The sequence below is a fragment of the Homo sapiens genome, chromosome 2, assembly GCF_000001405.40.
Source record: "Homo sapiens chromosome 2, GRCh38.p14 Primary Assembly".
Taxonomy (NCBI): domain Eukaryota; kingdom Metazoa; phylum Chordata; class Mammalia; order Primates; family Hominidae; genus Homo; species Homo sapiens.
This window is the reverse complement of record NC_000002.12, coordinates 99,154,291-99,181,112: the sequence shown is the minus strand read 5'-3', so window position 1 is coordinate 99,181,112 and position 26,822 is coordinate 99,154,291. Positions and strand designations below refer to the sequence as shown.

The 26,822-nt window shown below is 40.4% G+C and overlaps 3 protein-coding genes across 28 annotated transcripts in view, besides 9 other annotated features; 2 read left to right on the top strand and 1 right to left on the bottom strand.

Moving 5' to 3' along the window:
- Positions 8–237: an enhancer, noted in NCBI's record as "active region_16279". NCBI's record gives its function as "activates an Ori minimal core promoter by ATAC-STARR-seq in GM12878 lymphoblastoid cells {active_cell/tissue: GM12878}" and the evidence as "EXISTENCE:reporter gene assay evidence [ECO:0000049][PMID:35858748]".
- MITD1 (microtubule interacting and trafficking domain containing 1) lies at positions 55–19,686 on the top strand. Of its 9 annotated transcripts, none has more exons than XM_011510581.4 (7): positions 55–282; positions 7,097–7,198; positions 9,467–9,603; positions 9,684–9,770; positions 10,461–10,576; positions 11,503–11,563; positions 19,445–19,686. In XM_011510581.4, exons 1-7 carry the CDS (start codon positions 57–59, stop codon positions 19,589–19,591), a joined length of 876 nt encoding a protein of 291 aa, XP_011508883.1. In that variant the 5' UTR covers positions 55–56; the 3' UTR covers positions 19,592–19,686. The 9 variants fall into 9 exon arrangements, with proteins under 9 accessions (XP_011508883.1, XP_047299232.1, XP_016858804.1 ...); XM_047443276.1 differs by lacking the exon at positions 19,445–19,686 and adding an exon at positions 13,401–13,478; XM_017003315.3 differs by lacking the exon at positions 19,445–19,686 and adding an exon at positions 13,266–13,337.
- Positions 248–387: an enhancer, noted in NCBI's record as "active region_16278". NCBI's record gives its function as "activates an Ori minimal core promoter by ATAC-STARR-seq in GM12878 lymphoblastoid cells {active_cell/tissue: GM12878}" and the evidence as "EXISTENCE:reporter gene assay evidence [ECO:0000049][PMID:35858748]".
- Positions 17,976–26,146, bottom strand: LIPT1 (lipoyltransferase 1). Of its 7 annotated transcripts, none has more exons than NR_037935.2 (4): positions 25,745–26,039; positions 25,569–25,631; positions 24,687–24,812; positions 17,976–19,156 (listed from the first exon to the last, which is right to left on the bottom strand). NR_037935.2 is itself a non-coding variant. In NM_145197.3 (4 exons), the coding sequence occupies exon 4, from the start codon at positions 19,153–19,155 to the stop codon at positions 18,034–18,036; it is 1,122 nt and encodes a 373-aa protein (NP_660198.1). In that variant the 5' UTR covers position 19,156; positions 24,259–24,386; positions 24,687–24,812; positions 26,062–26,146; the 3' UTR covers positions 17,976–18,033. The 7 variants fall into 7 exon arrangements, 5 of the variants coding, with proteins under 5 accessions (NP_660198.1, NP_660199.1, NP_057013.1 ...); NM_145197.3 differs by lacking the exons at positions 25,569–25,631; positions 25,745–26,039 and adding exons at positions 24,259–24,386; positions 26,062–26,146; NM_145198.3 differs by lacking the exons at positions 25,569–25,631; positions 25,745–26,039 and adding exons at positions 22,701–22,816; positions 26,062–26,146.
- Positions 25,569–25,618: an enhancer, noted in NCBI's record as "active region_16277". NCBI's record gives its function as "activates an Ori minimal core promoter by ATAC-STARR-seq in GM12878 lymphoblastoid cells {active_cell/tissue: GM12878}" and the evidence as "EXISTENCE:reporter gene assay evidence [ECO:0000049][PMID:35858748]".
- Positions 25,649–25,728: an enhancer, noted in NCBI's record as "active region_16276". NCBI's record gives its function as "activates an Ori minimal core promoter by ATAC-STARR-seq in GM12878 lymphoblastoid cells {active_cell/tissue: GM12878}" and the evidence as "EXISTENCE:reporter gene assay evidence [ECO:0000049][PMID:35858748]".
- Positions 25,809–26,008: an enhancer, noted in NCBI's record as "active region_16275". NCBI's record gives its function as "activates an Ori minimal core promoter by ATAC-STARR-seq in GM12878 lymphoblastoid cells {active_cell/tissue: GM12878}" and the evidence as "EXISTENCE:reporter gene assay evidence [ECO:0000049][PMID:35858748]".
- Positions 25,809–26,539: a biological region, named in NCBI's record as "H3K27ac-H3K4me1 hESC enhancer GRCh37_chr2:99771037-99771658".
- Positions 25,918–26,539: an enhancer, noted in NCBI's record as "H3K27ac-H3K4me1 hESC enhancer chr2:99771037-99771658 (GRCh37/hg19 assembly coordinates)". NCBI's record gives its function as "activates a minimal SCP1, AML or CMV promoter by ChIP-STARR-seq in primed H9 embryonic stem cells {active_cell/tissue: H9 hESC(primed)}" and the evidence as "EXISTENCE:reporter gene assay evidence [ECO:0000049][PMID:30033119]".
- Positions 26,039–26,268: an enhancer, noted in NCBI's record as "active region_16274". NCBI's record gives its function as "activates an Ori minimal core promoter by ATAC-STARR-seq in GM12878 lymphoblastoid cells {active_cell/tissue: GM12878}" and the evidence as "EXISTENCE:reporter gene assay evidence [ECO:0000049][PMID:35858748]".
- The window catches only part of TSGA10 (testis specific 10), a 157,706-nt gene continuing 157,030 nt past the window's right edge, over positions 26,147–26,822 (top strand). For 4 of the 12 annotated variants that reach the window (NR_146053.2, NM_001349013.2, XM_017005041.3 and 1 more), the window contains exon 1: positions 26,171–26,420. Coding sequence is in view for 5 of the 12 variants with exons in the window: in XM_047445931.1 (XP_047301887.1) it covers positions 26,790–26,822 (33 nt within the window). In the remaining 7 variants the exon portion in view is untranslated. The other 8 variants (NR_146054.1, XM_047445931.1, NR_146055.2 and 5 more) reach the window with 6 other exon arrangements.
- Positions 26,329–26,528: an enhancer, noted in NCBI's record as "active region_16273". NCBI's record gives its function as "activates an Ori minimal core promoter by ATAC-STARR-seq in GM12878 lymphoblastoid cells {active_cell/tissue: GM12878}" and the evidence as "EXISTENCE:reporter gene assay evidence [ECO:0000049][PMID:35858748]".

Sequence of the window (26,822 nt, the reverse complement as noted above, 5' to 3'; positions counted from 1 at the left end):
AATCCCTCCCACTCAGGAAAGTCCCTAGAAAGAGAGCGCAGGCGCCTGGGTATCACATGACCACTTCCCGGAAGCGCAGCAGACCCGCTCAACTTCATCCTGGGTTGAGGCGGAGGAGAACTTCCAGAATTATGGCGAAGTCCGGGCTGAGGCAGGACCCGCAGAGCACAGCTGCAGCCACTGTGCTAAAGCGGGCAGTAGAACTAGATTCGGAGTCGCGGTATCCGCAGGCTCTGGTGTGTTACCAAGAGGGGATTGATCTGCTCCTGCAGGTTCTGAAAGGTGAGCAATGAGCCAAGGCGGGGAGGACCTGAGGAAAAGGAGCTGGTTCCTGCTGTGTCTGGGGTGAAGTGAAAGAGTTAAAAATGATTTTTCCACACCACGAAGAAGCAGTTAAATACAGAAGGTGGGATATTCTATAGGACAACTGGGCCGCTTTCTTTTAGATCTTTAATAGATTGATGTTACCTAGAAAAGGTGGGGAGGCTACTAGTCTAGATTTTAAAAGACTTAAGAGATATAAGATATAACGCAATGTAATATATAAGCTTTGATAGGACCTGGGTTTGTACGAACTTTAAAAGACATTTTTGGATCTATTAGAAAAGTTTGAATATAGATTGGGGGGCATTAAAATTATTTTCTTAGGCAATATGATTTTTTTTCCAAAACTTTCCTTAATTTTTAGAGATGCAGACCAAAGTGTTTTAGAAAGAGATGCTATGATGTCTTTAGTTAATTTTCCTTAAGCAAAAATTTCTTAAAAATCGAAGCTCTATTTGAGCAAAAATGCTAATTTTAAAAATTTCGGTGATGGGTAATAAGGGTGTTTATTATACGATTATTTTTAATTTTCTGTTTAAACATTTGCATTTAAAGCAAGCCAAAGTAAAATTATGTAGCGGTAGAAGAAGAAAAGTTTTTCTTAAACGGATGAGGTTCGGTGTGAGAAATGCGCAGGGTTGTGGAGGAGACAAGTGAGACTTTTCGTATTATTCAATGTTGAGAAATACCCAAATATTCCTTAACACCCAGCACAACCCTGGCTCACAGTAGACACTCAATATTTATGTATTAAATTGATAAGATCAGCTCCTGCTCCCCAACCCCCGACACTCCCGGTCTGGACTAAGCTCCCTCTGTTCTTTCTAGTTTAAGCTTCTTATAATTAAAGTGTTACAGAAGCTTTGGGGCAGCAGAGGGGAGCCCTTTATGGTTTGGTGCTTTGGTCAGAACTACAAACTCTACCGGCCGGGCGCGGTGGCTCACTCCTGTAATCCCAGCACTTTTTTGGGAGGCCGAGGCAGGTGGATCATGAGGTCAAGAGATCGAGACCATCCTGGCCAACATGGTGAAACCCCGTCTCTACTGAAAATACAAAAATTAGCCGGGCATGGTGGCACGCACCTGTAGTCCCAGCCACTTGGGAGGCTGAGGCAGGAGAATTGCTTGAATCCGGGAGGCGGAGGTTGCAGTGAGCCGAGATCGCGCCACTGCACTCCAGTCTGCCAATAGAACAAGACTCCGTCTCAAAAAAAAGAAAAAATAACTGTAAACTCTACCTTGCCTGGGGCATTATTTGATGATAATGATGACAGTGACAACAGCAATAAGCATAGATATCACGTTTCAGTGCTGAGTGCCAGGCATTGCAGAAAACATTAAAAGCATGATCTCGTTTCATCCGTACCAATTGCCCTATCAAGTAGGAGTTGATGGTATTCTCGTTTTACAGCATAAAAAGTATTGTTCGCTTTCAAGTTCTGCCACTAGGAGGTGGTAGAGTCACAGTCGGAGCCCAAGGCCCCAACGACTCTGGTATACTGAATCCCAAAAGAGAGATGGTGTACTGTGTTGGTCAGGTGGAACACTGCTCAAGTTTTGGCTGCACTAGGAATCTGAAGCAGGAGAATCACAGTTCTGCTCTAGGGTGCTTCACTGATCCCGTAGAGGTTACAGAGACAATGATGTCACATAGATGGGTTAAGACCAAAATGCAAATAGCGCTAATACAGGGAATAAGTGCCAGGAGAGAGATATCTATAGATAAACGCAATGAGGATTTAAACAGTTAAAGGTCATGTGAGGGTGGAAAGGTAGAGGTGGAGTTTGATTGGGGCTTTGGAGGAAAAATAATTTCAGAAGTCAGAAATTCATCTAAGAGTCTTCAAATTCCTGTGCTGTCTTACGAAATAAGTAGTTTGGTTGAGCATGTATCTGAAGAGGAAGAGTGAGAAGTAAAGTTTAAAGGTAGATAGGGGCTTGGATCACATTGAGGATGGCCTTGACTACCAGGAGATTTTAACTTATTCCACAGGCAAGGAGAAACCATTTAAGGTTTTTACAAAGGAGTAACATAATTGGAGTTGCATTTCAGGGCTTGTCTCTTTCAGGAATGTGCTCTTTTCTCACAGATATTTATTTGCATGGCACACTCTCTCTCCTATTTCAGGCCTTTACACAAATACCACCTTCTTTGTGAGGCTTTCCCAGACCTCCAGTGTAAAATTATAACCCCATCCCAGCACTCCCTGTCCTCCTTCATTATTTTATTTAATAGCACTTACCTCAATCTAATATACATGTTTTGCCAATTTATTTTTATTGTTCTCTTCCTACTTGAACAATAGAAGAGAATTTTGTCTGTTTTACGAACTGCTGTATCCACAGCACTTAGAACAGTGCTGGGCATGTTGTTAGTTCTCAATAAATATTTCTTGAATAAAGGACTGAATATGGCAAGGATGTAAAGTAGACATTAACCTGTAGAGACTGAAGTTAAGCAGACCAATTAAGGAGCTCCTGCTGGAATCAAAATAAGAGGTGTGTATAGCCATTATAGAAAACAGTATGGAGATTCCTCAAAAAATTAAAAAGAGAACTACCATATGATCCATTGATCCCACTACTGGGTATATATCCAAAGGAAATGAAATCATTATGTTGAAGAGATATTTGTACTCCCAAGCTTACTGCAGCACTATTCATAATAGCTAAGATAGGGAATCAACCCAAGTGTCTATCAGCAGATGAATAAAGAAAATATGGCACATATATACAGTAGAGTACTGTTCAGCCATAAAAAATGAAATCCTGTCATTTGTGACATGGACAAACTTGTAGGAAATTGTTAAGTGAAATAAGCCAGACACAGAAAGACAAATACCACATGATCTAACTCATATGTGGAATCTAAAAAAGTTAATATCATAGAAGTAGAGAGTAGAATAGTGGTTACCAGAAGCTGGGAAGGGCAGTGGGTAGGAGGAATGGGGAGAGGTTGGTCAAAGGGTACAAAATTACAGTTAGATGCCAGGTGCAGTGGCTCACGCCTGCAATCCCAGTACTTTGGGAGACTGAGGTGGGTGGATCACTTGAGGTCAGGAGTTCGAGACCAGCCTGGCCAACATGGTGAAACCCTCTCTTAAAAAAAAAAATTTACAGTTAAATAAGAGGAATAAATTCTGGTGTCTTATTACACAATAGGGTGACTAGAGTTAATAATGTGTTGTATGTTTCAACATAGCTAGAATGAAGGATTTTCAATGTTCTTACCACAAAGAAACAATAAATATTTAAGATGACAGATATCCTAATTACCCTGATTTGATCATTACACAATGTATACATGTATCAAAACATCACATTGTACCCCATTAATATGTATAATTATTATGTGCCAATTAAAATTAATAAAACCTTTTTAAAAAGATGAGGCATGATAAGGGCCTGAATGAACCAGGGAGATGATACCAGTATTAAGATAAGGAGGGGGCACTGGCACATGATTAGATATGGGAGTAAGGTTAATGGGAATCAAAGATGGCTGTAAGGGTCCAAGCCTGAGAAACTGTAGCGTAATGATTGAAGGATGGGTCTATGTGTGAGACACTGCCAGCTGATCAAGGACAATGACTAAGACTGAACTACTACATAATTTAAAGTCTAGCAAGGTTGAGGAAAGGTTGTGTTTTGCTTTTATTTGGGCAGGAGAGGGATGGGGGAAAGCTAGAATGAGCTCTGTGGAATCAAAGTTATCAGCATGAACTCATGGTTTTTAATATTTATATAGATGGACAGAAACAAATACATATAGATGTATGTATATATAGATGTATGTGTTAGTAAGCCTACATATACCTCCTAGCTGTATTGACTGAGAGGGTCTAGAAGTAGTGGTGGGACTCCCCCAGCAGCAATGAACACAGCTGGCACCCAGAATTTGGTTTCTCAATGCCATTCTTCAATAAAAGTGACCGAGGCTCCTTGGAAAAGGGTATTTCAGGGCTGGGGCAAAAAATAAACAAGATGAGTTTTAACAAATCTTTTGGCTTCCCTGGGCCACATTGGAAAAATAATTGTCTTGGGTTACATGTAAAATACACTAACACTAACGACAGCTGATGAGCTAAAACACACACACACGCGCACACACACACGCACACATACACACACCCCTCATAATGTTTTAAGAAAGTTTACGAATGGCCAGGTGTGGTGGCTCACGCCTGTAATCCCAGCACTTTGGGAGCCCCAGGCGGGTGGATTGCTTGAGGTCAGGAGTTCAAGACCAGCCTGACCAACATGGCGAAACCCTGTCTCTACTAAAAATACAAAAAATTAGCCGGGTGTGGTGGCGGGCGCCTATAATCCCAGCTACTCCGGAGGCTGAGGCAGGAGAATCGCTTGAACCTGGGAGGCGGAGGTTGCAGTAAGCCGAGATTGCGCCTCCAGCCTGGGCAACACAGCGAGACTCCGTCTCAAAAAAAAAAAAAAAGTTTATGAATTTGTGTTGGGCCTCATTCAGAGCTGTCCTGGGCCACATGCAAGAGTTGGACAAATTTGGTTTAAAACATCTTGTGGCTGTGCATGGTGGCTCATGCCTGTAATCCCAGCACTTCGGAAGGCCAAGGCAGGCGGATTGCCTGAGCCCAGGAGTTCGAGACTAGCCTGGGCAACATGGTGATACCCCATCTCTACAGAAAATAGAAAAGAAATACAAAAACTAGCCAGGCATAGTAATGTGTGCCTGTAGTCTCAGCTACTTGGGAGGCTGAGGTGGGAGGATTCCTTGTGCCTGGGAGGCAGAGGTTGCAGTGAGCCGAGATCATGTCACTGCACTCCAGCCTGGGCGACAGAGCCAGACTGTGTCTCAGCGAAACAAAATGAAACAAAAAAATCCTGAATCAAAATGTAAGGACATAATAGCGATGCGGGCTTGACAAAAGGACACAGGAACTAACATGAAGGAGATGTCAAAGCCAAAGCTGATAAAATTTGAGCAGGAAAATGATAGTATTGGATTATAACTCATAGAGTAAAATAAATATCCCTGAGCCCATACTATTTAATTGAATAAATAGATTGAGAAGGAATGACGGAAATAGAAAACCACCATTTTGCAAACATCACAGTCATAGTTGTTGCAGGCAAGGACCATCAACAGATGCTAAAATTAGTGGGAGAAAGAGTGATGGGAAGCAGGATATCTTTCCATAAGGTACTTACAAATTACAAAAGAGAAAATAGTGATTTTACAGTGGAGAAATCTGAACTACACCTTTACCAAATGGTCAGTTAATATCATCAGCAGTAAGACACATCAACATCATGTACCCACTGAGCAAGGCACATCACTTCTGTGATTTTCTTGCCAAAAATGCATAAACCAAGTCTAATGATGAGAAAACATCAGACTGTCCAAAATGAGAGACATTCTGCAAAAATAACTGACCAATATTATTCCTAAATGTCAAGGACATAGAAGGCAGAGAAAGATTAAGGAACTAACACAGATTGGAGGAGACTAAGGACACATAACTAAATGCAATATGGGATCCTGGACCAGAAAGCAAACTTTCATTAGTGGGAAAATTGGTGAAATTCAAATAAGGTTTGTAGATAAGTTCATAGTATTGTTTCAGTGTTAATTTCCTAGCTCTGATACTTGTAGTATGGTTTGTGATATGTTAACATTAAGAGAATCTAGGTGAAGGAGGTTATCTGTACCATTTTTGCAACTTTTCTGTAAATATAAAAAATTAACTCAAAATGTTTTTTAAAATGAGAGATTAAAATGAAATTATTGGCTGGGCAGTGTGGCTCACGCCTGTAATCCCAGCACTTTGGGAGGCCGAGGTGGGCGGATCACCTGAGATCAGGAGTCGGAGACCAGCCTAACCAATATGGTGAAACGCCGTCTCTACTAAAAATACAAAAATGGGCCGGGCACGGTGGCTCACGCCTGTAATCCCAGCACTTTGGGAGGCCGAGGCAGGAGGATCACTTGAGGTCAGGAGTTCGAGACCAGCCTGACCAACATGGTGAAACCCAGTCTCTACTAAAAATACAAAAACTAGCCAGGCATAGTGGTGGGCGCCTGTAGTCCCAGCTACTCAGGAGTCTAAGACAGGAGAATTGCTTGAACCCGGGAGGTGGAGGTTGCAGAGAGCCGAGATCATGCCACTGCACTCCAGCCTGGGCGACAGAGCGAGATTCCGTCTCAAAACAAACAAACAAAAAATGAGATTATTTATGGAAAATATAAGCGATGTTGAAAGGAAAAAAGGGAAGGAACAAGAAGTGATTTGTTGACTGATTTGGGAGGAGGGGTGGTTGGGTAAAACTTTATGATCATGTATATTCAAAAATAACATTTTTGTGGTAGCTGGAAAAATGTGCATTAACTATAATGGGGAGGTCTGGAAGAGTAGCTGGTTTTGTGGAAGATAAATATTTTTTGCTACTTTTAATTATGCAAAAATTTCAAACTTGTGGGTAGTTAGGATAAAATAGTGCTCAGACATGAGTTTGACATGTAATGAGCCACCTTTCATCCCACCAGATTTGATGTCCCAGAGATGAGACATAGTGTCAAGAGCTCCCACTCCTAAACCAAGCTGCATCACGCTTCGTGTAAATATGAAGGTCTTGTATGTTCAAGCCAAATTTGAGTTTATTGTGTGTGTTTGAGGACTGAGGCAAGCCATACTAGAGGATAGGAAATTTGTAGAAAACTTGAGAAACTGAAAATAATGCCCAAATTAAATAGAAAAACTATTTTGATACTTGATAATATATATTTTTAAATTTGTAGGTACCAAAGATAATACTAAGAGATGTAATCTCAGAGAAAAAATTTCCAAATACATGGACAGAGCGGAAAACATAAAGAAGTACTTGGACCAAGAAAAAGAAGGTAAAGAGGTTGTTTTAGAAAATGCATCCATAAACAACTGTGACTGTCCATTCACCCAATGTTTCTGGCTCCTGCCCTTTGGAGCTCTGTGTGGTCTGGACCAGTTGTCCCTGGGAGCTTACAGGATTTAATCTGTATTTCCACTCCCATACAGGAGTTGTTCTTAATTTTTTGTTTGTTTGTTTGTTTTGGCTTTTGTTTTTAGTTGGGGGTGGGAATATCAGACACCCCTTTGAACATCTCATGAAAGCTATACTTACTGGAGAATGTTCCATGCCATTTTTAAGGGGTTCACAAATCCCTATGAAGCTTATGTGTGGACCCTATGTTAAGAAATACTACAGGGAATACTGAATGTAAATTGTGTATTTTATTTATATTTCCCTTTATGAAATGACCAAAATCATGAAAGAAGCTAAAGAAACTCCTGGGATTTCTCTCAGATTTTGTTGTGAATCAAAACACCTCAGGAGTTAAGCATTCCTAATGATTAGAGGTCAGGTAGGTATTGTTCCCTATTATTAGTTCCCTACTCCTAAGCATCCAGTTTACAAATGTCTGTAAATGGCCATTTCCACCCTTACCTGAGTGCATACTTGCTGCTTTCTATAGCCAAAGGTACTGCTGCCCTCAAAAGCCAGTGCCCCCAGGCCCCAGCTTTTCTTCCTCTCTATACTTTCTACACCCCTTTCCCCATCTCTTCCTACTATCCTGTATCAGTACATACCCTGGGGACCCCCCACTGAGCTCCTTTGTTCAGTGGGAATAAAGTTATGTTTCCTTAGCCCCGATTTGAAATTTAGAATGAAATTTTACTCCAAAACATTGATGAAATATAGTACCTCCAGCATTGTGGTTTTGAGTACATGGAATTAAATTAACCTCTATACGGCTATCTTGGCTTAAAAAATAAGGCATAGTTGCCAATGTTATCTATGTGGAAATATTTGGAACAGAATCCAAACTACTGATTTTTAAACAAAGTGTAAAGTATAATTTAGGGGCTACCATTAGGGTTTTTTTTTTTTTTTTTAGACGGAGTCTCGCTGTGTCGCCCAGGCTGGAGTGCAGTGGCGCGATCTCTGCTTACTGCAACCTCTGCCTGCTGGGTTCAAGCAATTCTTCTGTCCCAGCCTCCCGAGTAGCTGGGACTACAGGCACCCGCCGCCAAGCCTGGCTCATTTTTGTATTTTTAGTAGAGTTGAGGTTTTGCCATATTGGTCAGGCTGGTCTCTAACTCCTGACCTCAGGTGATCCTCCCGCCTCAGCCTCCCAAAGTGCTGGGATTACAAGTGTGAGCCACCATGCCCAGCCAGGGGTCATATTTTTTTAAAACCTTAAAGGTTTCTGATAACTTTTTCAATATTCATTTTGAATGAACAAAAGCAATAGATCTATCCTCTTGATCCTGTGACATCCCAGTCTTTAGCTTATTAAGAAGTACTATAAATTTCTGTTTAAAACTGTACACGTGCCAAGAAAGACTTTGAAGCTTCATATTATACTGCATTAATTTTTTTTTTTTTTTTTAAGGCAGAGTCTTGCTCTGTTGCCCAGGCTGGAGTGCGGTGGCATGATCTCAGCTCACTGCAACATCCACCTGGGTTCAAGTGATTCTCCTGCCTCAGCCCCCCAGGTAGTTGGGACTACAGGCACCTGACATCATGCCTGGCTACTTTTTATATTTTTAGTAGAGCTGGGGTTTCACCATGTTGGCCAGGCTGGTCTCGAACTCCTGACCTCAAATGATCTACCTACCTTGGCCTCCCAAAATGCTGGGATTACAGGCGTGAGCTACCGCGCTCTGCCCTGCATTCATGTTTAATACTCACTTTAGTTATTAGATTGCAAGACATAAAAAGACAAGTCTGAAGAGGAGGACCAGATAGCCACTGAGTTTCAGTATGTGGTGCTACCCATGGCGACAGGGAGTTATTGGATACCTTTATATATACACTACTCCCTTCAACAAACTGCCTGGTCTATAGGATCTTGCTCAAGGACCTGTTCCAGGAAACCTCTAGATTTTCCCCCTTGCCTAGCCTCTGTGAAGGCAGAAATCACTAATGGAGTGGTTTGCCTTAAATACCTTTGTACGTGTAACATCCTGCAATGTATATGATATTTAGTAGGCATTCAATAAGTATTTGCTGAATAAGTTAAAAAAATTAATATGTATCTGATGCTGATTAATCACTCTATATAAAATATAAAATGTGTAAAAAAAAAATGGTCACTGGTTTTACTGTTGAAGCCTGTGTTTTATAGATGGAAAATATCACAAGCAAATTAAAATAGAAGAGAATGCAACAGGTTTCAGTTATGAGTCACTTTTTCGCGAATACCTTAATGAGACAGTTACAGAAGTTTGGATAGAAGATCCTTATATTAGACATACTCATCAGGTATGTGAACATACTAAAATATAATGAAATATCATATTCAATGTACTAAATTAGTAATAATCCATTCTAATGTCTTTTAGCTGTATAACTTTCTTCGATTTTGTGAGATGCTTATTAAGAGACCATGTAAAGTAAAAACTATTCACCTTCTCACCTCTCTGGATGAAGTAGGTACCTGAAAGCACTTACTCTTTCTTATTAACTTTATTCAGTTACAAGATGTAGTCCAGTCAAGGAGAACACAGATGCAGTGCTTCAGCTAGATTTGTTTCCTTGGGAATTAACTTATTATCTAACAGTATGCATAACATGTCATAAAAAAAGTTATTGATTTTAGGATGCTGATTTTGTATTTGGCCACTTTGCTAAATGCACTTATTCAAATAGTTTGTTAGTTTAGTCTCTTGGATATTCTAGGAGGCAATCACACTGTCTGCACTATGAACAATTTTGTTTCTTTACCAATTATTATATCTGGGGGATGGTAGCATGATATGATATGGTAGTGGGCATCTCTATCTTGGTTTTGACTTAAAATAAGAATGCTTCTAAATAATTATGATTTCTACGATTGATTTCAAAAGCAGTCAGCTCCACCTGGATGATTAAAACTATTCTAAACTACATTTAAGGAGACAGGATGGAGTTATGTTCACATTAGAAAAAAAGATGATTTTGATAAAAATAATTGCTCTTTAAACTACCTCACATTGGTTGTTTTTTTGAGATAATAGACATTGAAACTAGTATAGAACATTTCCATCTTAATCCACCTGTGATATAGATTGTATAGCTTAGGGATAATTTAAGATAGTAATAATAACTGCGGCAGATAATCGTATTTTTGCTATTAACAGGGCATTGAGCAAGTGCAGCAAAGTAGAGGCCTGCAAGAAATAGAAGAGTCACTCAGGAGTCACGGAGTGCTGTTGGAAGTTCAATACTCTTCTTCAATACATGACCGAGAAATTAGGTTAGTCTACAATAATGTTTTAATTTTTATGCAGTTGATATATACTTAAAATTTTTGTAAATGTTTTATATAATTGCCTATAAATATTTAATAATTTATAAATATTTAAAATTCAAATAAAACTCCATTTAGTACTTTTTCACTTTTGAGAAGAAAAAAAACACTTGGCTTTCTTTTTGACAAAGTAAGCCAAGTGTTTTGTGTGTGAGTTTAATATTTCCTAATGGAATAGTATTTACATGTTCTGTGTCATATAGAAAAAGAGAACACTTTTCTGTCTACTCAACTGTATATATAGTGTTATGATATTAGGATAATTTATTTTCTAGTGAACTTAATATTTACTTAATGTGGCTTTACTTCTTAGGGGTTATTAAATATTCTAGTAGGCATGACAATTTGCTGAGTCTATAAGAAAACAGAATATGCAGTTATTTTAGTGATATCTTCCTTTTGTTTAGCACAGTGGTTATGTTTATAGCAAGGGCACTCAGTTTTAATAAAAACTTAATCACAAACTAAATATGCAAAACAGATGAAAATGCAGCTGCTGTAGTTAAAGCAGAGGTCAGGGTCCAGGGCTCCTCCTGCACATTCCCCATCTCTAGGTAGGGGAACTCTTGAAACACCACCAGTTTCCCTGAATACACTTTGCCACCACTTGTTAGCAGAACACGAAAAAGTTTTATCAACAAGCTGAAATTCAAGATTAAACTATCAGATAATTAAATCAACTGATTGTTTCTATGACTGTTTTCATTGTGGACACAGCTCATAATGAACCCCAGGTTTGATTCAACTCATGCCACTGGAGGAAGTGGTTTGCTTTGTTAGGGGGAAATTTTGCTGACACTTAATACACTACAGCTTTATTAATAGTCTGACTTAAATGTCTTGAATATAATACTATATACTAATTTCAACAGGTTCAACAATGGATGGATGATTAAGATTGGAAGGGGACTTGATTATTTTAAGAAACCACAGGTAGGATATAATCTTATGAGTAAATGTGTAGCACTGTTTTTGTATCATTTTTAATGATACTCTTTTCTTCTCTTCTTAGAGTCGTTTTTCCCTTGGATATTGTGATTTTGATTTAAGACCATGTCATGAAACAACAGTAGACATTTTTCATAAGAAGCATACAAAAAATATATGATGGGTGGTAGCCTAATTTGTATTATGTCTACTTTAAGTGAATATTGGATTTTTTTTAAAAGATCACTTTTATAATGTATGAATTTAACAATAAACTTTTATATTTCTACTAATTTATGGATCCATCATTCAGTTGTGGGAACAATCCTAAATATTTTTGTAAATATATTACTCAGCAGATTTACAATGTTTCTTTCAAGTAATACAGCTAATTTAAACATTTTACCAGCTTCTCTGTTACTTGGCTGCGGGAGCATGTCAACAAATAATAAGCATCTATTAGGAAGATGAATTAGATCTTAATTTTGCCTGTGGGAGTTTTAAGTCCAGGAGGGAAAGACACCATGGATTAGAGTGCTTTTAAAGAGACAGATGGAGCTTGGGCAACCTGTATCAGAAAAAAAAAAAAAAAAAAAAAAAAAAAAAAAATTAGCCGGGCATGGTGGCATGTGCCTATAGTCCTAGCTACTTGGGAGGCTGAGGTGGAAGGATCACTTGAGCCTAGGAGGTTGAGGCTGCAGTGAGCTGAGACTGCACCACTGCACTCTAGCCTGGGTGACAGAGCCAGACCCTGTCTCAAAAGAAAAAAAAGAGACAGATGGGCTTGGGGTCTAATAAACAGGAAAGTAAAATGTTAATTTTGTTACAATTAAGAGAATTGTCTTTGGTAAACATTTACCATCATGCAGTTGTGCAGTATTACCTAACTCCATGAAGGCAAATCAACCCATTCAGTTATCCAAATGCATTTTGCAGCTCATTCACTTTGGCTGGCACATTTGTAAAGCCTTGCAGCTTAGAATCAACTGTTCTGGGTAAGCTTTTCATCCAGATGCCAGTTGTGTGGTTGGAGACAGAATAGATTCCATGGAGACAGGCTGAAGAGGGGTTGTATGCTAGAGGTAGTGGGCGGTCCACAGCTCAAAGAACATGCTGGCTGGGCACAGTGGCTCACGCCTGTAATCCCAGCACTTTGGGAGGCAAAGGCAGGCGGATCACCTGAGGTCAGGAGTTTGAGACCAGCGTGGCCAACATGGAGAAACCCCGTCTTTATTAAAAATACAAAATTAGCCAGCCGTGGTGGCGCATGCCTGTAATTCCAGCTACTTGGGAGGCTGAGGCAGGAGAATTGCTTGAACCCTGGAGGTGGAGGCTGCGGTGAGCGGAGATCATGCCATTGCACTCCAGCCTGGGCAACAAGAGTAAAACTCCATCTCAAAATAAAAAAAGAAACAAATAAAAAAACCCAGCTAAGCTAACATATGTAAGAGGAAAACTATAGTACCAGTGTTCAGTATTGGAGAGTGCACATATAAATGTCACATCTGAGGACTATTCAACAGAGTTAAAACAGTGTAGAGGACCAAAGGTAGAGACCATGGGAACAAGGTTGGACAGAGTGGTCTTGGGCAAGCCTTGGACACTGTTTTCCTTTTGTGGGACAGCTGGTAGGTACAAGATGGAGCTGGCATAAAAGGCCAGGAAGGGCTTCCAGAACAGTTCCTGATTTTTTTTTAAATCTTTTCAGGTTCAGGTGCTGATAATACTGAATCTGAAAAATTTTAGACTCAAACTAATTTACTAAGCTGTATCATATGGAAATTCAGGGTCTCAGGAAAACACTTGAACAAGTGTTGGCCTGATCCGAAGTTCCTTTCTGCAGAGTATCTTTGCTTATCTTGCCCAGTACCCGATGCCACGTGGAAATGGAGTGGCTCTTAATTAAGGTAAGAACATGTGTTAGGCCTCTTTACCTTCATGTTAAAATAACAATTCTGATTTCTAAAGCATATGAATCGTTACTATGGAGAATTAGCAATCCACAACCCTGTGCAATTAACTTTTATCCAACTTCTATAAAAATCCTGGCTAAGACATAGTGATATTTAAAGAAAAGAGTCTACAGACATGCTATCCATTCTAGATATTTGGAGTTCTATCCCCAGATCTAATTAGAGCACCAGAAGCCTACCAGGTACAGCTTAAATATATCAAGAAATGTGTTAAGAACTATATGAACAACTATAAGCTTTATGGAGGGACATAAAAGAAAATTAGGGTAACTAGAAAGACAAATTGTATTCCTGAATGGGAAGACTTAATGTCAGTTCTCTCTAACTTAATTTATAAATTAAATGACAAAAGAGAGTAACACCAGGAGACTTGCTTGACCAGCTATAAAGACATAGCTACAATAATTTTCTTAAAAATGTATGGGCATAGGCATGGGCAAATAAATCAGTGGGATAGAATAAAAGAGTCCAGAAACACATTTGAAAGAGAGAAATTGTGTATGAATGAGTATTTAATATGTAATAAAGGTGACATTTTAAGTTAGTGGAGAAAGAGCTCAACAAATGGTTGGAAAAAATAACATTAAGGCCTCTGTCTTACTCCGCATAAAGAAATTTTTCTGTAATGATGTTGACACCATACAAAGAAATCTAAACGTATTACAGAGCTAATTAATGAAAAATTTATATATATATATATATATATATATATATATATATATATTTAAAACCCCACTTAATGAACTGAGTATAACAGAAAGCCCCAGAACTCTTAAGAGCAAAAGACTTGGTCATGTAAATATACAAAACTTGAGTAAAAGGAAACATAAGCTAAGTTAAAAAAATGAGAGATCAAATTTATAAAATTAGAGTCAGTATTCCTAATATATAAGGATGATGGCCAGATTTTTAGCAGTGACCTTGATCTGACCTCCTTTAGCCTCCACAAGGACTTGGGCCTTAGAGCAATCTCTCCTGCTGTACTGCATCATTCCTATTAGTACACACATCTCGAGCCAGATGCCACCCTATTTTTTCATTCTTCATGAAAAATTTCTTCAAAGAGTGTTCTCTGTATGTTTTTTTTTTTTTTTTTCTTATTTCCTCACCACCTATTTGCTTTAACTCACTTCAGTCTGGCGACTGCCCCAGGTACTCCACTGAAATCGTTTTTGCTAAGGTCAACAGTGATCTCTGTACTACCATATTCAATGGGCACTTTTAAACTCTCGTACTATGTGACCTTTCAGAAGCATTTGACCCAGTTGGCTACTCCCTTCTTGAAACTCTTGACTTTCATGAAACACACTCTCTTCCTCCATTCTTCTTACATTTTAAATACCGAAGTTCTCCCAAGCTAGGTACTAGGTAGTAACCTCTTTTTTTTTTTTTTAATTCACACTCTTTCCCTAAGTGATTACATGGTTAAGTGTTCTTAGTAAAAAACAACAAAAACTGCTCCTACCTGATATAAGCAAAAAAGGGGTTTATTATAAGAATAGTAGGTAGTTGAGCTATAGACTGAGACACAGAGGTTTTGGAGTGAAAAATCACATCTAGAATCACTACCCAGAACTAATCAGATGACACCCCTGCTGACACTGATGCAAGGGCTGGATGCAGTAGCCTACACCACTGATATCACTGGCTTGGAAACTATCACGCTAGCCTCACTGCCTTCATTACCCCAGAAATTCAGGCCCCTGTCGCTACTTCCAGAGAAGGGTTCTCATCATTCCAGATGTTCTGCATCACTAGTGTCTAATTCAAAATATGGAGCAGTTGCATCTGATTGGCACAGCTTAAGTCATGTGCCCACGTCTGAGCTTCAAGGAAGGCCAGCAAAGAGTATAGTAAACTTTTGTTTCCATAGAAGGAAGTAGGCTCTACCTCCTACCAGGTGGAGAAGTCCGCAAACATATAAGGGGACCCAGATGCTGAATATTTAATAGTTTAAAATTTAAACTTTAGATGAATTATAAAAGTCTAAAATTATTCATTCTCATGACTTAAAATACTATTTATATGCGGTCAGCCCTCAAATTTATAAATTAAGCCAAGACTTCTCCTTGGAGTTATTCAACTGCCTGTATGACATCTCAGAAGCACACAAACATTTCAAATATAATACACCCCAACCTAACTTTTGATATACACTGCCCTACTCCCCATGTATACTCCCATCCATCCAATCTCATAAGAAATCTAGGAGTAAAGGCCAGGTGCAGTGGCTCACACCTGTAATCTCAGGACTCTGGGAGGCTGAGGCAGGCAGATCACCTGAGGTCAGGAGTTCAAGAACAGCCTGGCCAACATAGTGAAACCTGTCTGCACTCAAAATACAAAAATTAGCCAGGCGTGGTGGTGCAAGCCTGTAGTTCCAGCTACTTGGGAGGCTGAGACAGGAAGATCACTTGAACCCACTAGGCAGCAGTTGCAGTGAGCTGAGATCATACCTCTGTATTCCAGCCTAGGTGACAGAATGAGACTCTGTCTCAAAAAAATAAGACTATATATATATGTGTGTGTGTGTGTGTGTGTGTGTGTGTGTGTGTGTGTGTGTATGCCATTTTGACTCCTCTCTCATCCCCATATGCAAACATTCAGAAAGTTCTGGGGAAACCACTGCAAAACATACCTTGAGTCCATATGTTTCAGGGGTTACTTGGTCAAATTTCCAATTTGGAACTCGAAGCCCTTAACACCCTTTGCCTGATGATATCCTCTCTCTGGAGAAACATGGTATTACTGCACCAAAGCACATCATATCAGGATTTTTAACCTTTCTCAAAAAATAATTTTCATAGGTGGTAACAAGTGTGAAATGTTCATGAGTAATCTCTTCAAAGTTGTGTTTACTTGGTATTTAATATTGCTTTTAAATAACAAAAGGACCTGCCCATTAAACCTGCTAAACTGCCAATCATGTTTGTCCCAAGAACACCTTGAAAAATAAAATCACTCACCCTACCCCCAGTCTGAGATAATCAATTGTAGGCAAAACCCTGTGTCCATGCCTGCTCTTCCTAAAAATAAAAAAAGGATGGGGCCTGGAACTACTGAGATATATTAAAAGAAAATAACTCATAAACAGAGGGAGCTGGGCATGGTGTTGAGCATCTGTAGTTCCGGCTACTCCAGAACCTGAGGCAACAGGATCACTTGAGCCCAGTTCAAGGCTGTAGTGACCTATGAGCATGCCACTGCACTCCAGCCTGGGTGAGGGTAAGACCCTGTCTTGAAAGAAGAGAAAGGGAGTGGAGAGGGGAGGAGGGGGGCCATGGGGGCTGGAGGGACTCATTTCTGAAGGCCTCAACTCTCACCAAATTATGAATCAAGGTTTGTGACAAGGTAAGAGTAGTGAAATTCTGAGCTTGAGAAGAGTGGAAACATTCCCCTTAAGAATGAGGGGAACTCAACCAGAGATGAATTAAATCTGACACCAGCAGAAAGATACATAAGTTGAAAATTATAAATATCAAATTGGGCTAATCTTCAATGATTATATGATCTTTCCCCCCAGCATCACCTGCCAAAAAGAGTAGAAAATCAATTGTTTAGACTAAAATTAAAAAGTGGCTATGGTAGAAGGTCAAAGGAGAGAAGCAAATGAGAATACTGGTAAGAAAGTAAAGCATAAAGTAAATTTCAGGCTGGGATAGAAGGGAAATGATGCAAGGAGAGATTAGGGAAGGGTTAAGAGCTTAGAAAAGTGCAACAGCCTTGATTTTTAGTGGGAGAGTAGAAAGATAAGAAAATATAACTAAAAGGGAGAATTTTAGAGTTTGAGATATGAGGAGAGGTGGCAAGAAATCTGGGTTATATCTCCGAGAGATAAGAAAAACAGAGAACTAAGTCTGAGGTCAGAGTGTCCAATATTATATATAGCCCCAAGAGAGTAAAAGCAGCAGCAGCTGAAATATAAATACATGCCAGGTATTAAAATCAATGAACAGACAGGGCATGGTGGCTCACACCTGTAATCCCAGCACTTTGGGAGGCTGAGGTCGGCGGATCACTTGAGGCCAAGAGTTTGAGACCAGCCTGGCCAACACAGTGAAACCCTGTCTCTATTAAAAATAGAAAAAATTAGCTGGGCATGGTGACAAAACCCTGTAGTCCCACTACTCGGGAGGCTGAGGCATGAGGATCACTTGAACTCAGGAGGTAAAGGTTGCAGTGGGCCAAGATCGCACCACTGCACTCCAGCCTGGGTGAGAGTGAGTCTCTGTCTCAAAATAAATAAATGAAATAAATAAAATAAAATAAATGAAGGAAGAAAGAGAAGAAAGAGGATCCTAGAGGTCAGAAGAAATACACAGATAGGGATAGGTGATAAAGAATTTCAGATGGGGAGAAGTTACTGAAAGAGACTAGGTTGTTGTGTTTTGTTTTTTTTTTTTGACGTTACTAAAAGAGACTAGGTTTTTTTTTGACATACAATGTGCAAGTATGAGACATTTTATTTTCTAATTGAAACTGTATTAAGACATTTACTTGGAATCACATTATTCCCTTAATTTTTTCACAGAGAATATTCCATTTACTGTTTAGTTTGTGGTCTTGTGGACATGTTCTAAGTAATATATTTGTTAGCATGGTAGTTTCAGTTGGGCAAAACTTACTGCCAATAAGACTTGAATTTAATTTGTCACGTATTTCCAATGGCAACCAATGATCAGGTGCTTCAATATTACAAATTTCAATTCTTCCATTCTTTATGTCTATGAATACTTTAATTTCCAAGTGTGACTGTTCATATAACACATGAAAGGAAGTATTTATACTAAACTTTGGAGTTTTGCCATATATCCACTCCCAAGTTTGCAGTTCTTTGGCTTTGCTATTTATTCCAGGAAACAGTGTCTCATCCGTTGGGTTTATTAGGTGAATGTGATTATCAATTTGATGATAAGCAGCATACTCTGTAGCAACAGCATTCATTAGTACTTCACAGGTCAGAGTGGGATCCTTTTCCAAAAGATTTTTCACTAAGGAAGGTATGCTAGCAGTGGCATTGCTCCTGATCCCTTGGTAAGGGCTCTTTAGCAAAGAAGACAAGAACGTCCCATCAGTACTACATAATAAAGTGCAATGGTGATAGGCAGTAGTCCGGCCGATCTTAGAAGCTGTTCCTGAGATTTTAAACTGTCCATCAAGTAAAAGGTCAAATCTTTTGGTAGCCTGCACATCCAGCTGGGGTTGGACAGCATTCAGAGCTCTCACAATTAATTTCAGATTTTCCATTCTATCATACTTTTTTTTGGTTGTAAAGAAAGTCAAATTGATATTACCCATATCATGGTAGACTGTTCCTCCTCCACTTCTTCTCCGAGCCAGTTTTATACCTTCTTCTCTCATTAGATTCAGGTTACATTCCTGCCAAGGATTTTGATGCCTACCAATTACAACAGAGGGAGAATTCTGCCAAAAGAATAGAATTGGTTTGCCTTCTAGATTCATATGGTCATGGATCCAGTCTTCCACAGCCAGATTTTGATAGACATCATTGGAAATTGACTGTAAAATGAGCCCATTTTTTACTGTTTTTTTAAAGCCAGCTGCTGGGACCTGGCAGTTACAAAGTAACTGGAAGCAATTCTTCATTGAAAATGGGATCAGCATGCTTTTAAAAATGGAAGACAAACAAATTAATTCATCGAGAAAAGGAACATTAAATTCTATTTTCTAACTATCAATTATCGGTTATTTAATCCAAACTTAAAGTATCCAGTGCAGTTGCTTTTGGCTTTTAGCTTTACAATTAGTCTTTAGCAATGCTATAACCAAGTATTCAAAAGAAATAAATGAAGACAAATTTCAAATAATTTCAGTTGAAATAATTTCACAGTTTTCAAACAATAAGTCTGCTGCAAATACATTATGTAATATATCTTTTTTTTTTCTCTTACAGACAGGATTTCACCATGTTGCCCAGGCTGGTCTCAAACTCCTGGGCTCAAGCAGTCCTCCCACCTTGGCCTCCCAAAGTGCTGGGATTACAGGCATGAGCCACTGCACTCAGCCACATTACCTATATCTTAAAGCCAAATTATGTTGAATTCACAAGTAACAAATGTTCATCGAGAAAAATGAGAAAATACAGACAAGCAAGAAGAAAAAAATAAAAGCATTGATAGTCCTAATCACAATTAACATTTTGGTGTAAACCCATTTTATTTCTAAGCATGTATACGCACACACATTTCCCTCCCCATACTATTATTTCATTCGACATTCAATCTATATATATATATATATATATATATATATATATATATATATATATATTTTTTTTTTTTTTTTTTTTTTTTTTTTTTTTTTTTTTTTTGAGACGGAGTCTCGCCCTGTCACCCAGGCTGGAATGCTGTGGCGTGATCTTGGCTCACCGCAACCTCCGCCTCCCAGGTTCAGGCGATTCTCCTACCTCACTGGGATAACAGACGCCTGCCACCACGTGTGGCTAAATTTTGTATTTTTAGTAGGCATGGGGTTTCACCATGTTGGCCATGCTGGTCTTGGAACTCCTGACCTCAGGTGATCTGCCCGCCTCAGCCTCCCAAAGTGCTGGGATTACAGGCATGAGCCACCGCGTTGGCCCATTAAATCTATTTTGCATCAGCTTTAATGACTGTTTAATATTCCATTGTTAACAAGTTTACTCAGTCTCTTAGTCTGTAATTTTAGGTGGCTTCTAGTTTTTCTGGTTATCAACGATGTGTTCATGAACATTTCCGTGGAAAGCTTTCATTATGTCTTTATAACACTTTAAAAATAATTTCCTGTTTGACTTTGGGATATATGATTTACTGGCAGCATAACTTTTATTTAGATCAATATTAACTTAGGATGAACCCTTGAGGTCAGAGAGAGAGGCAACTGGGAGTATGCAGGTTTATATACAAAGGCTAAGAATAAATTCACTATGTTTGGATGCTTTCCACATTATTCATGTTACCATTGCTAATGAAATATTAGGCAGCAAAAGGTTGAAAATACTAGCTATGAAAATGAAGTATTTTGATTACTTATGGTCTTAAATCATTCTATTCCAATTCTATTTCTTAGAATATAATTTTCCTTCAGGTTGAAGAACTGGGAATAGAATGGATTATTAAAGTGTATAACTTGAGGTTAAGAGTTTGGTTCTAAATAAAGAAAGTTCATAACTAGGTAGCTAGGCTTTTTTATTTTTTATTTTTAAGACAGGGTATCACTCTGTAATTGTCTCACTGCAGCCTCGACCTCCTGGGCTCAAGCAATCTCCACATCTCAGCCTCTGAAGCAGCTGGGACTACAGGTATGCGCCACCATGCCTGGCTAATTTTTAAATTTTTTGTAGAGATGGGGGTCTCCCTACGTTGCCTAGGTTGATCTTGAACTCCTGGGCTTCAGTGATCCTCCTGCCTCAGCCTCCCAAAGTGCTGGGATTATAGGCATGGGCCACTACACCTGGCCCCAAATCATTTAGTTAAGTAATATCTTAGAAGTACAATTCTAGATTAAAGAGTCTTCATATTTTCATCACTCTTGTTGTAGTTTATAAACTAACCTACAAAAAGTTGAATCAGTTTACATTCTGTCTAGAAAGGTGTGGAGAGGTTTAATAGAGGAAGGAATACTTGAACTGAGTCACCAAATCTGATAAGTTTGCCAGGTCGAGGAGCATATTCCAGGCATATGCAAAGACAAAGAGTCATCTAATAGTAAGGTATGTTTGGGGATTCCCTCCTAAGAGAAAGAGTTACACTACTAGTCTTCGACTTCCACTTAAGCCTATGGCTATACTGTCCTAGGAAGCCTCGCAACCGAGACTGCATTACTTTGGTTAACCTCTTTGTTCTTGGTTCTGCTTGACTGACTTTGACACAGTACCATATTCATTCAACAAGTATTTATGGAGTTCCTACTAGGTACAAGGTAATAAGGAGATAGAAAATGGGAGGAGATAAATTCATGTAATGAACCAAAATATTTGGACTTTTTAAAAGGCAGCTAAGATCCACTGAAGTGTTAAGCAGGAAGTGTTAACTCAGCTGTTATACGAATCTGCCTCTGCAGGGTTGAGTATGGATTAAATAAAGGATGGACTAGGGACAGGGGGAACAGTTAATGGACTAAGGCAGTTGTCCATGCTAGAGATAATGAGGGCCTAAAGTACGGTAGGAGAGAGAGAGAGAGAGAAGGGGATGGATATGAGTGACATTAAGAAGGTGAACTGGCCGGGCGCAGTGGCTCATGCCTGTAATCCCAGGACTCTGGGAGGCCGAGGCAGGCGGATCACGAGGTCAGGAGATCGAGACCATCCTGGCTAACACAGTGAAACCCCGTCTCTACTAAAAATACAAAAAATTAGCCGGGCATGGTGGCAGGTGCCTGTAGTACCAGCAGCTCTGGGAGGCCGAGGCAGGCGGATCACGAGGTCAGGAGATTGAGACCATCCTGGCTAACACAGTGAAACCCCGTCTCTACTAAAAATACAAAAAATTAGCCGGGCATGGTGGCGGGCGCCTGTAGTCCCAGCAGCTCTGGAGGCTGAGGCAGAAGAGTGGTGTGAACCCGGGAGGCGGAGCTTGCAGTGAGCCGAGATCGTGCCACTACACTCCAGCCTGGGCGACAGAGCAAGACTCCGTCTAAAAGAAAAAAAAAGAAAAGAAGGTGAACCTGTCCTTGCCTTCAAGAAACAAGTACCTCCACAATCTAGTGGGAGATACTAAAAAACAAGTAAGGCAATAATTAAAATACAGTGTCCTAAATGCTGTGATAGGTGTTAAGTACAGTAGAGCGCCATCTAATGCTCTAATTAGTGGATGTGACATTGAAGCTGAGACATAAAAGGGATAAAGAAAAGAATTCTAACAATGTGCAACAGCTTAGTGGAAAAGGAGATAGGACCCATGCAAATAATTTAATTCTACTGGCTGGTTATTAGGAATACAAGAATGGGGAGTTAATAAGAAGGCAAGAGAAGTAGATGTTAGATTATAAAGAACCTTAAATCCAAGTGAAATGCTTGAACTTTATTGCCCAGGATGGAGTGCAGTGGTGTGATCACGGCTCACTGCAGCCCCGACCTCCTGGGCTCAAGCAATCCTCCCCCTTTAGCCAGCATGTGCCACCACGCCTGGCTATTTTTTTTTTTTTTTTTTTTTTGTAGAGATGAATCTCACTTTGTTGTCCAGGCTGGTCTCAAACTCCTGGGCTCAAGCAGTCCTCCTGCCTTGGCCTCCTAAAGCACTCGGATTACAGGCATGAAGGCTTTGGATTTATACTTCAGGGACACCGCCTAGAGATTTTAAGCATGGAGAATGTACAATACTTGGCAATAGGTTGAATTAGGGTGAGAGAAAGAGAAGTCAAGCATCATGTCCTTTATGATATAATGATTACAAGCTCAAACCAGAGTGCCCTCATTCAAATCCCAACTCTATCCTTTATCAGTTGAATGACCTAAGGCAGATTACTTTTCTATGTCTCAGATTTGTTATCTAATATGTGGATAATGACAGGACTCATCTCATATTATCAGGCTGAGTCTGATGAGCTAATACATATAAAGTGGTTAGAAGAGTGCCTGGCACTGAAGAAAGTACACAATATGTGCTAACTATTTTATTAATATTATGCCCTGATTTCTGGCCTGGCAAAGAGGTGAAATTTCCTAGGACAGATTTTATAGGAAGAGGAAGTATGGGGTTAAGATAATTGGTTCATTTTGACTGTTGAACTAGCGGCCAACGGCACAGAGCTCAATGGATGGTAACTGAGGCCACAGGAAGGTGGTTCAGTGAGAAGATTTAAGGGCCTGCGACATAAGACTGAAGAGCAGCAACATTTAACGGACATACAGAAGAAGGAGGGAGAGCTCCCAAAGGAAGCTGAGGATAGAAGAAAAGGCAGAAAAATTTTAAATATGCTATTATGGAAGCTTCAAGGAGACAAGATGGTCAACAGTGCCAAATGCCAAAGATTGAGCAAATAAGATGAGGGTTGAAAAGGATCTATTAAACAGTATCAAGAAGGTTATCAGTGATCTTGGTAAGAACCAGATGTACTGAGTAAATAGGAGGCCCAAGGTGGATACAATGAGGGTATTCTAGTTGTGAAGTGGAAAAGCTAGGGCAGTAGGTAGAAAGGAATGTGGAGTTAGGAGAGGACTTAAGATGCAATAGATCTGAGCATGTTTAGATGCTGGTAGGGGAGTCAAGAGAGGGCAACACTGGAGAAGGGAGGTCCTTGAGAAAGTGATGGTACTGGGATCCAGAGTTCAGGTAGGGGCAGCCTTAAAGGAGAAAGTAACAAATAGGAGTGGTGGTCACTAATAAGCTGGATGGTGTCTGTGGATATGGAAATTGTCAAAGATCTTGTGAAATATCTTTTCCCAAGATTAAGGCTCTTACTCTTGTCTGCATGTGCAGAGTGTGGCAGGATGGCAAAGTAGTTAAGGACTTAAATTTTTAATCCTGGCTCTGCCACTTACTAATGACTTTAGGGAAGTGGTTTAACCTCTAGCTGCTTCAGTGGCCTCAGACGTCATAAAATGGTTGAGAGAATTAAATGTGTTAATATGCATAAGCCATTCATGTTTGGCAAATATGAAATGTTAACTGTTATGACAGGGTTCTCCCTTTCCCATCTCTATTCTGTGCTTACTGTTCCTATCATATACCATGTATTCCCTCAAGTGAACAAAGATTCCTAACCAAGACACATCAAAGTGGCATTTACCTTGATAAATTAACTATAGTCCAAGATATTGACTTTGGTCAAAAATGTGATCTTGTTAGGGTTCCAGAATTGATCCAATTCATGTATTGAGCCAATGCATGTATTTTAATAGTGCTAAAAATATCTCTCTTCATCCAGGTATTGTATATACAGTGTGAATAAAACACAACAAAGGTATTAATTCAACAAAGTTTTCATCAATTACATGACAGACATTGTTCTTAGCACTTGGGAATCATCAGTGAGTCAAATGAATAAAGGTGATAAGGAGGGCTATTAAAAAAAGTAGATGGCCGGGCGAGGTGGTTCACACCTGTAATCCCAGCACTTTGGGAGGCCAAGGTGGACAGATCACCTGAGGTCAGGAGTTTGAGACCAGCCTGGCCAACATGGTGAAACCCCGTCTCTACCAAAAATACAAAAATTACCTGGGCGTGGTGGCAGGCGCCTGTAATCTCAGCTACTCGGGAGGCTGAGGCAGGAGAATCGCTTGAACCCGGGAGGTGGAGGTTTCAGTGGGCCGAGATGGGCTGGGCAACAGAGCGAGATTCAGTCTATTAAAAAAAAATGTAGAGCTGATAAAGGGAGGATTGTAACTGTGTATGTGAGAAAACTTACATTGCAATTTTAAATAGGGTTGTTAGGCTAAGCCTCATTAAAAAGGCATCATGTGAGAAAAGATGCAAGAAGCTGTTCTAAGCACCTGAACACGTAAACCAATAAACAGACCTCAGTGAGGATGTGACATTTCAGTTGAACCCCGAAAGATAAGAAAAAATCACACAGAGTGAGAAAAAGTGAAAACAAAGGGATGTCCAAAAATCCCTGACTGCCAGCTTATTGATTTACAAAGAGAACTATAGACCATCTATCAGATATTCAGATGAGCCTGTGCAATTATTCACTGTAGGTCTGGTGACAAGCCAACTCTTAAGTTTGCTTGGTGAATACATAATCAGAAAAGGACTGAGTTACATGATATGAACGTCTGACGGAATGGGCTCTGGGGAAGACACTTCCTTAACTCAGGAGAGCCCCTGCTCTTAAGCCGGGATACCCTCTCTCCCCTAGAGAAGGCGTGGATTCATCTGGCACAGGTGTGCCCCTCTTTTTTTATTCTATGCTCCAGTAGCGGATCAGACCCCGACTGAGTAATGCACGGTATTTCAGGATATTTCACAGTCGTTGGGATAGTGTCAAGCCTTTGAAGTTCTGGTTAAATTTTGTTCCTTCAAAATCACTTTGAATCTTTCTACTCTCACCCTTTAATGACTAATTTTTTGAAGTTTTTCCTCGGAAGACTTCCTTACCTTCCATGTTCTTGGGACACTTCGCTACCTCTGCACTGCCAAACACGGCTCCCCATCACTGAACTGAAAGCGAAAACAGCACAATCCCATCTATCTTTCTAGGCAGGCGCAGCTTCTTCATAAGACCTCGCCAAGACCCTATTATTTTGTCCCCTCTCTAATGATATACAACTTACTCAGAATCTCATTACGGTCGTGTGCATGTTTTACTTCGCCCTTTTGGCTCCCAGGGGGCGTGCACACAGCTAGCGTCCAACATGTTTTACGATATTTACCCTCCCTCCTGTGTTCGGGATCAACCGTTCCTAACAGTGAAATTAGGTCGTCCCAAGTGCTGAGGAGAAAGTGTGCACACAAGAGGCTTCAACACCGGCGGAGGCGACCCGCAAGTCCTGACCCACCGCCAGAAACACCGCGCGCGCCCAAGACCCCACGGCCGCCCACGCGCTACGGCCCGCAACATCCCGGTTTGAAGCGTTTCCGCTTCACCCACCTGCGGCTTCCGGTCGTACCCACGGCCTCGTGAGGGCTCGAGCTGGAAAAGTGCGTCATACGACCCCGAGCAACCGGCAGGCCTTGCGCGCGATGCTGCCCCGCCCCCTGAGGGCCGGCCCCCTGAAGCGCAAGAGAAGGAGGGGCGCGCAGGGATCGCGCCTAGTCTCTCCGCCTGCGGAGCCGTGGGGTCCCGGCAGCCCGCAGGAGTGCTAAGTAAGGGTCCTTCAGGGCGGGAACCAGGTTCCAGGCAGGGACGCAGGCTACGTTCGAATAAAAGTACCGAAGGTCATAAGGCCCCAGTTCAGATGGGACTTCCCCGCGTGACAGCACAGAGATAACGGCCAGCCCTGGGCGAAGGTAGGAGAGCGGGCGTGCCAGGTTGGAGGGGTCATTTCGTGGAGCGAGTTTAGGGGGAGCCCCCAGAAGCCCAGAGCAGTCAGGTCACACGACGGGCAGGAAGGAGTACCAGCAAATACTTTTTATTGAGCATACAGGTATTACGCTGGGTCTTTACATATCTCCTCCAAATAAGTGAGTCCAAATGGCAGGTAACTCGAAAGGTGAGAAATTCAAGTCAGCTTTGAAAGACACATTGCATTTAAAGGAAAAACGGTATTCGCAGATGATAATACAGGATGGAGTGGATCAGAAAACACACTGAGGCTACTGATCATTCCCATTTGCCAACTCACTGCAGTTGGCAAGAAAACTCTGTGACTCCATGAGATGGGAAATTACACCAGCAGTCAAGGTAGCAAG

Excerpts from the sequence above, each read along its gene's own strand:
- MITD1 (XM_011510581.4), top strand. The coding sequence starts at position 57 with ATGACCACTTCCCGGAAGCGCAGCAGACCCGCTCAACTTCATCCTGGG. Across the intron at positions 7,199-9,466 it reads CTTGGACCAAGAAAAAGAAG|ATGGAAAATATCACAAGCAA; the intron begins GTAAAGAGGTTG and ends TGTGTTTTATAG. Across the intron at positions 9,771-10,460 it reads TTCTCACCTCTCTGGATGAA|GGCATTGAGCAAGTGCAGCA; the intron begins GTAGGTACCTGA and ends TGCTATTAACAG.
- LIPT1 (NM_145197.3), bottom strand. The coding sequence starts at position 19,155 with ATGCTGATCCCATTTTCAATGAAGAATTGCTTCCAGTTACTTTGTAAC.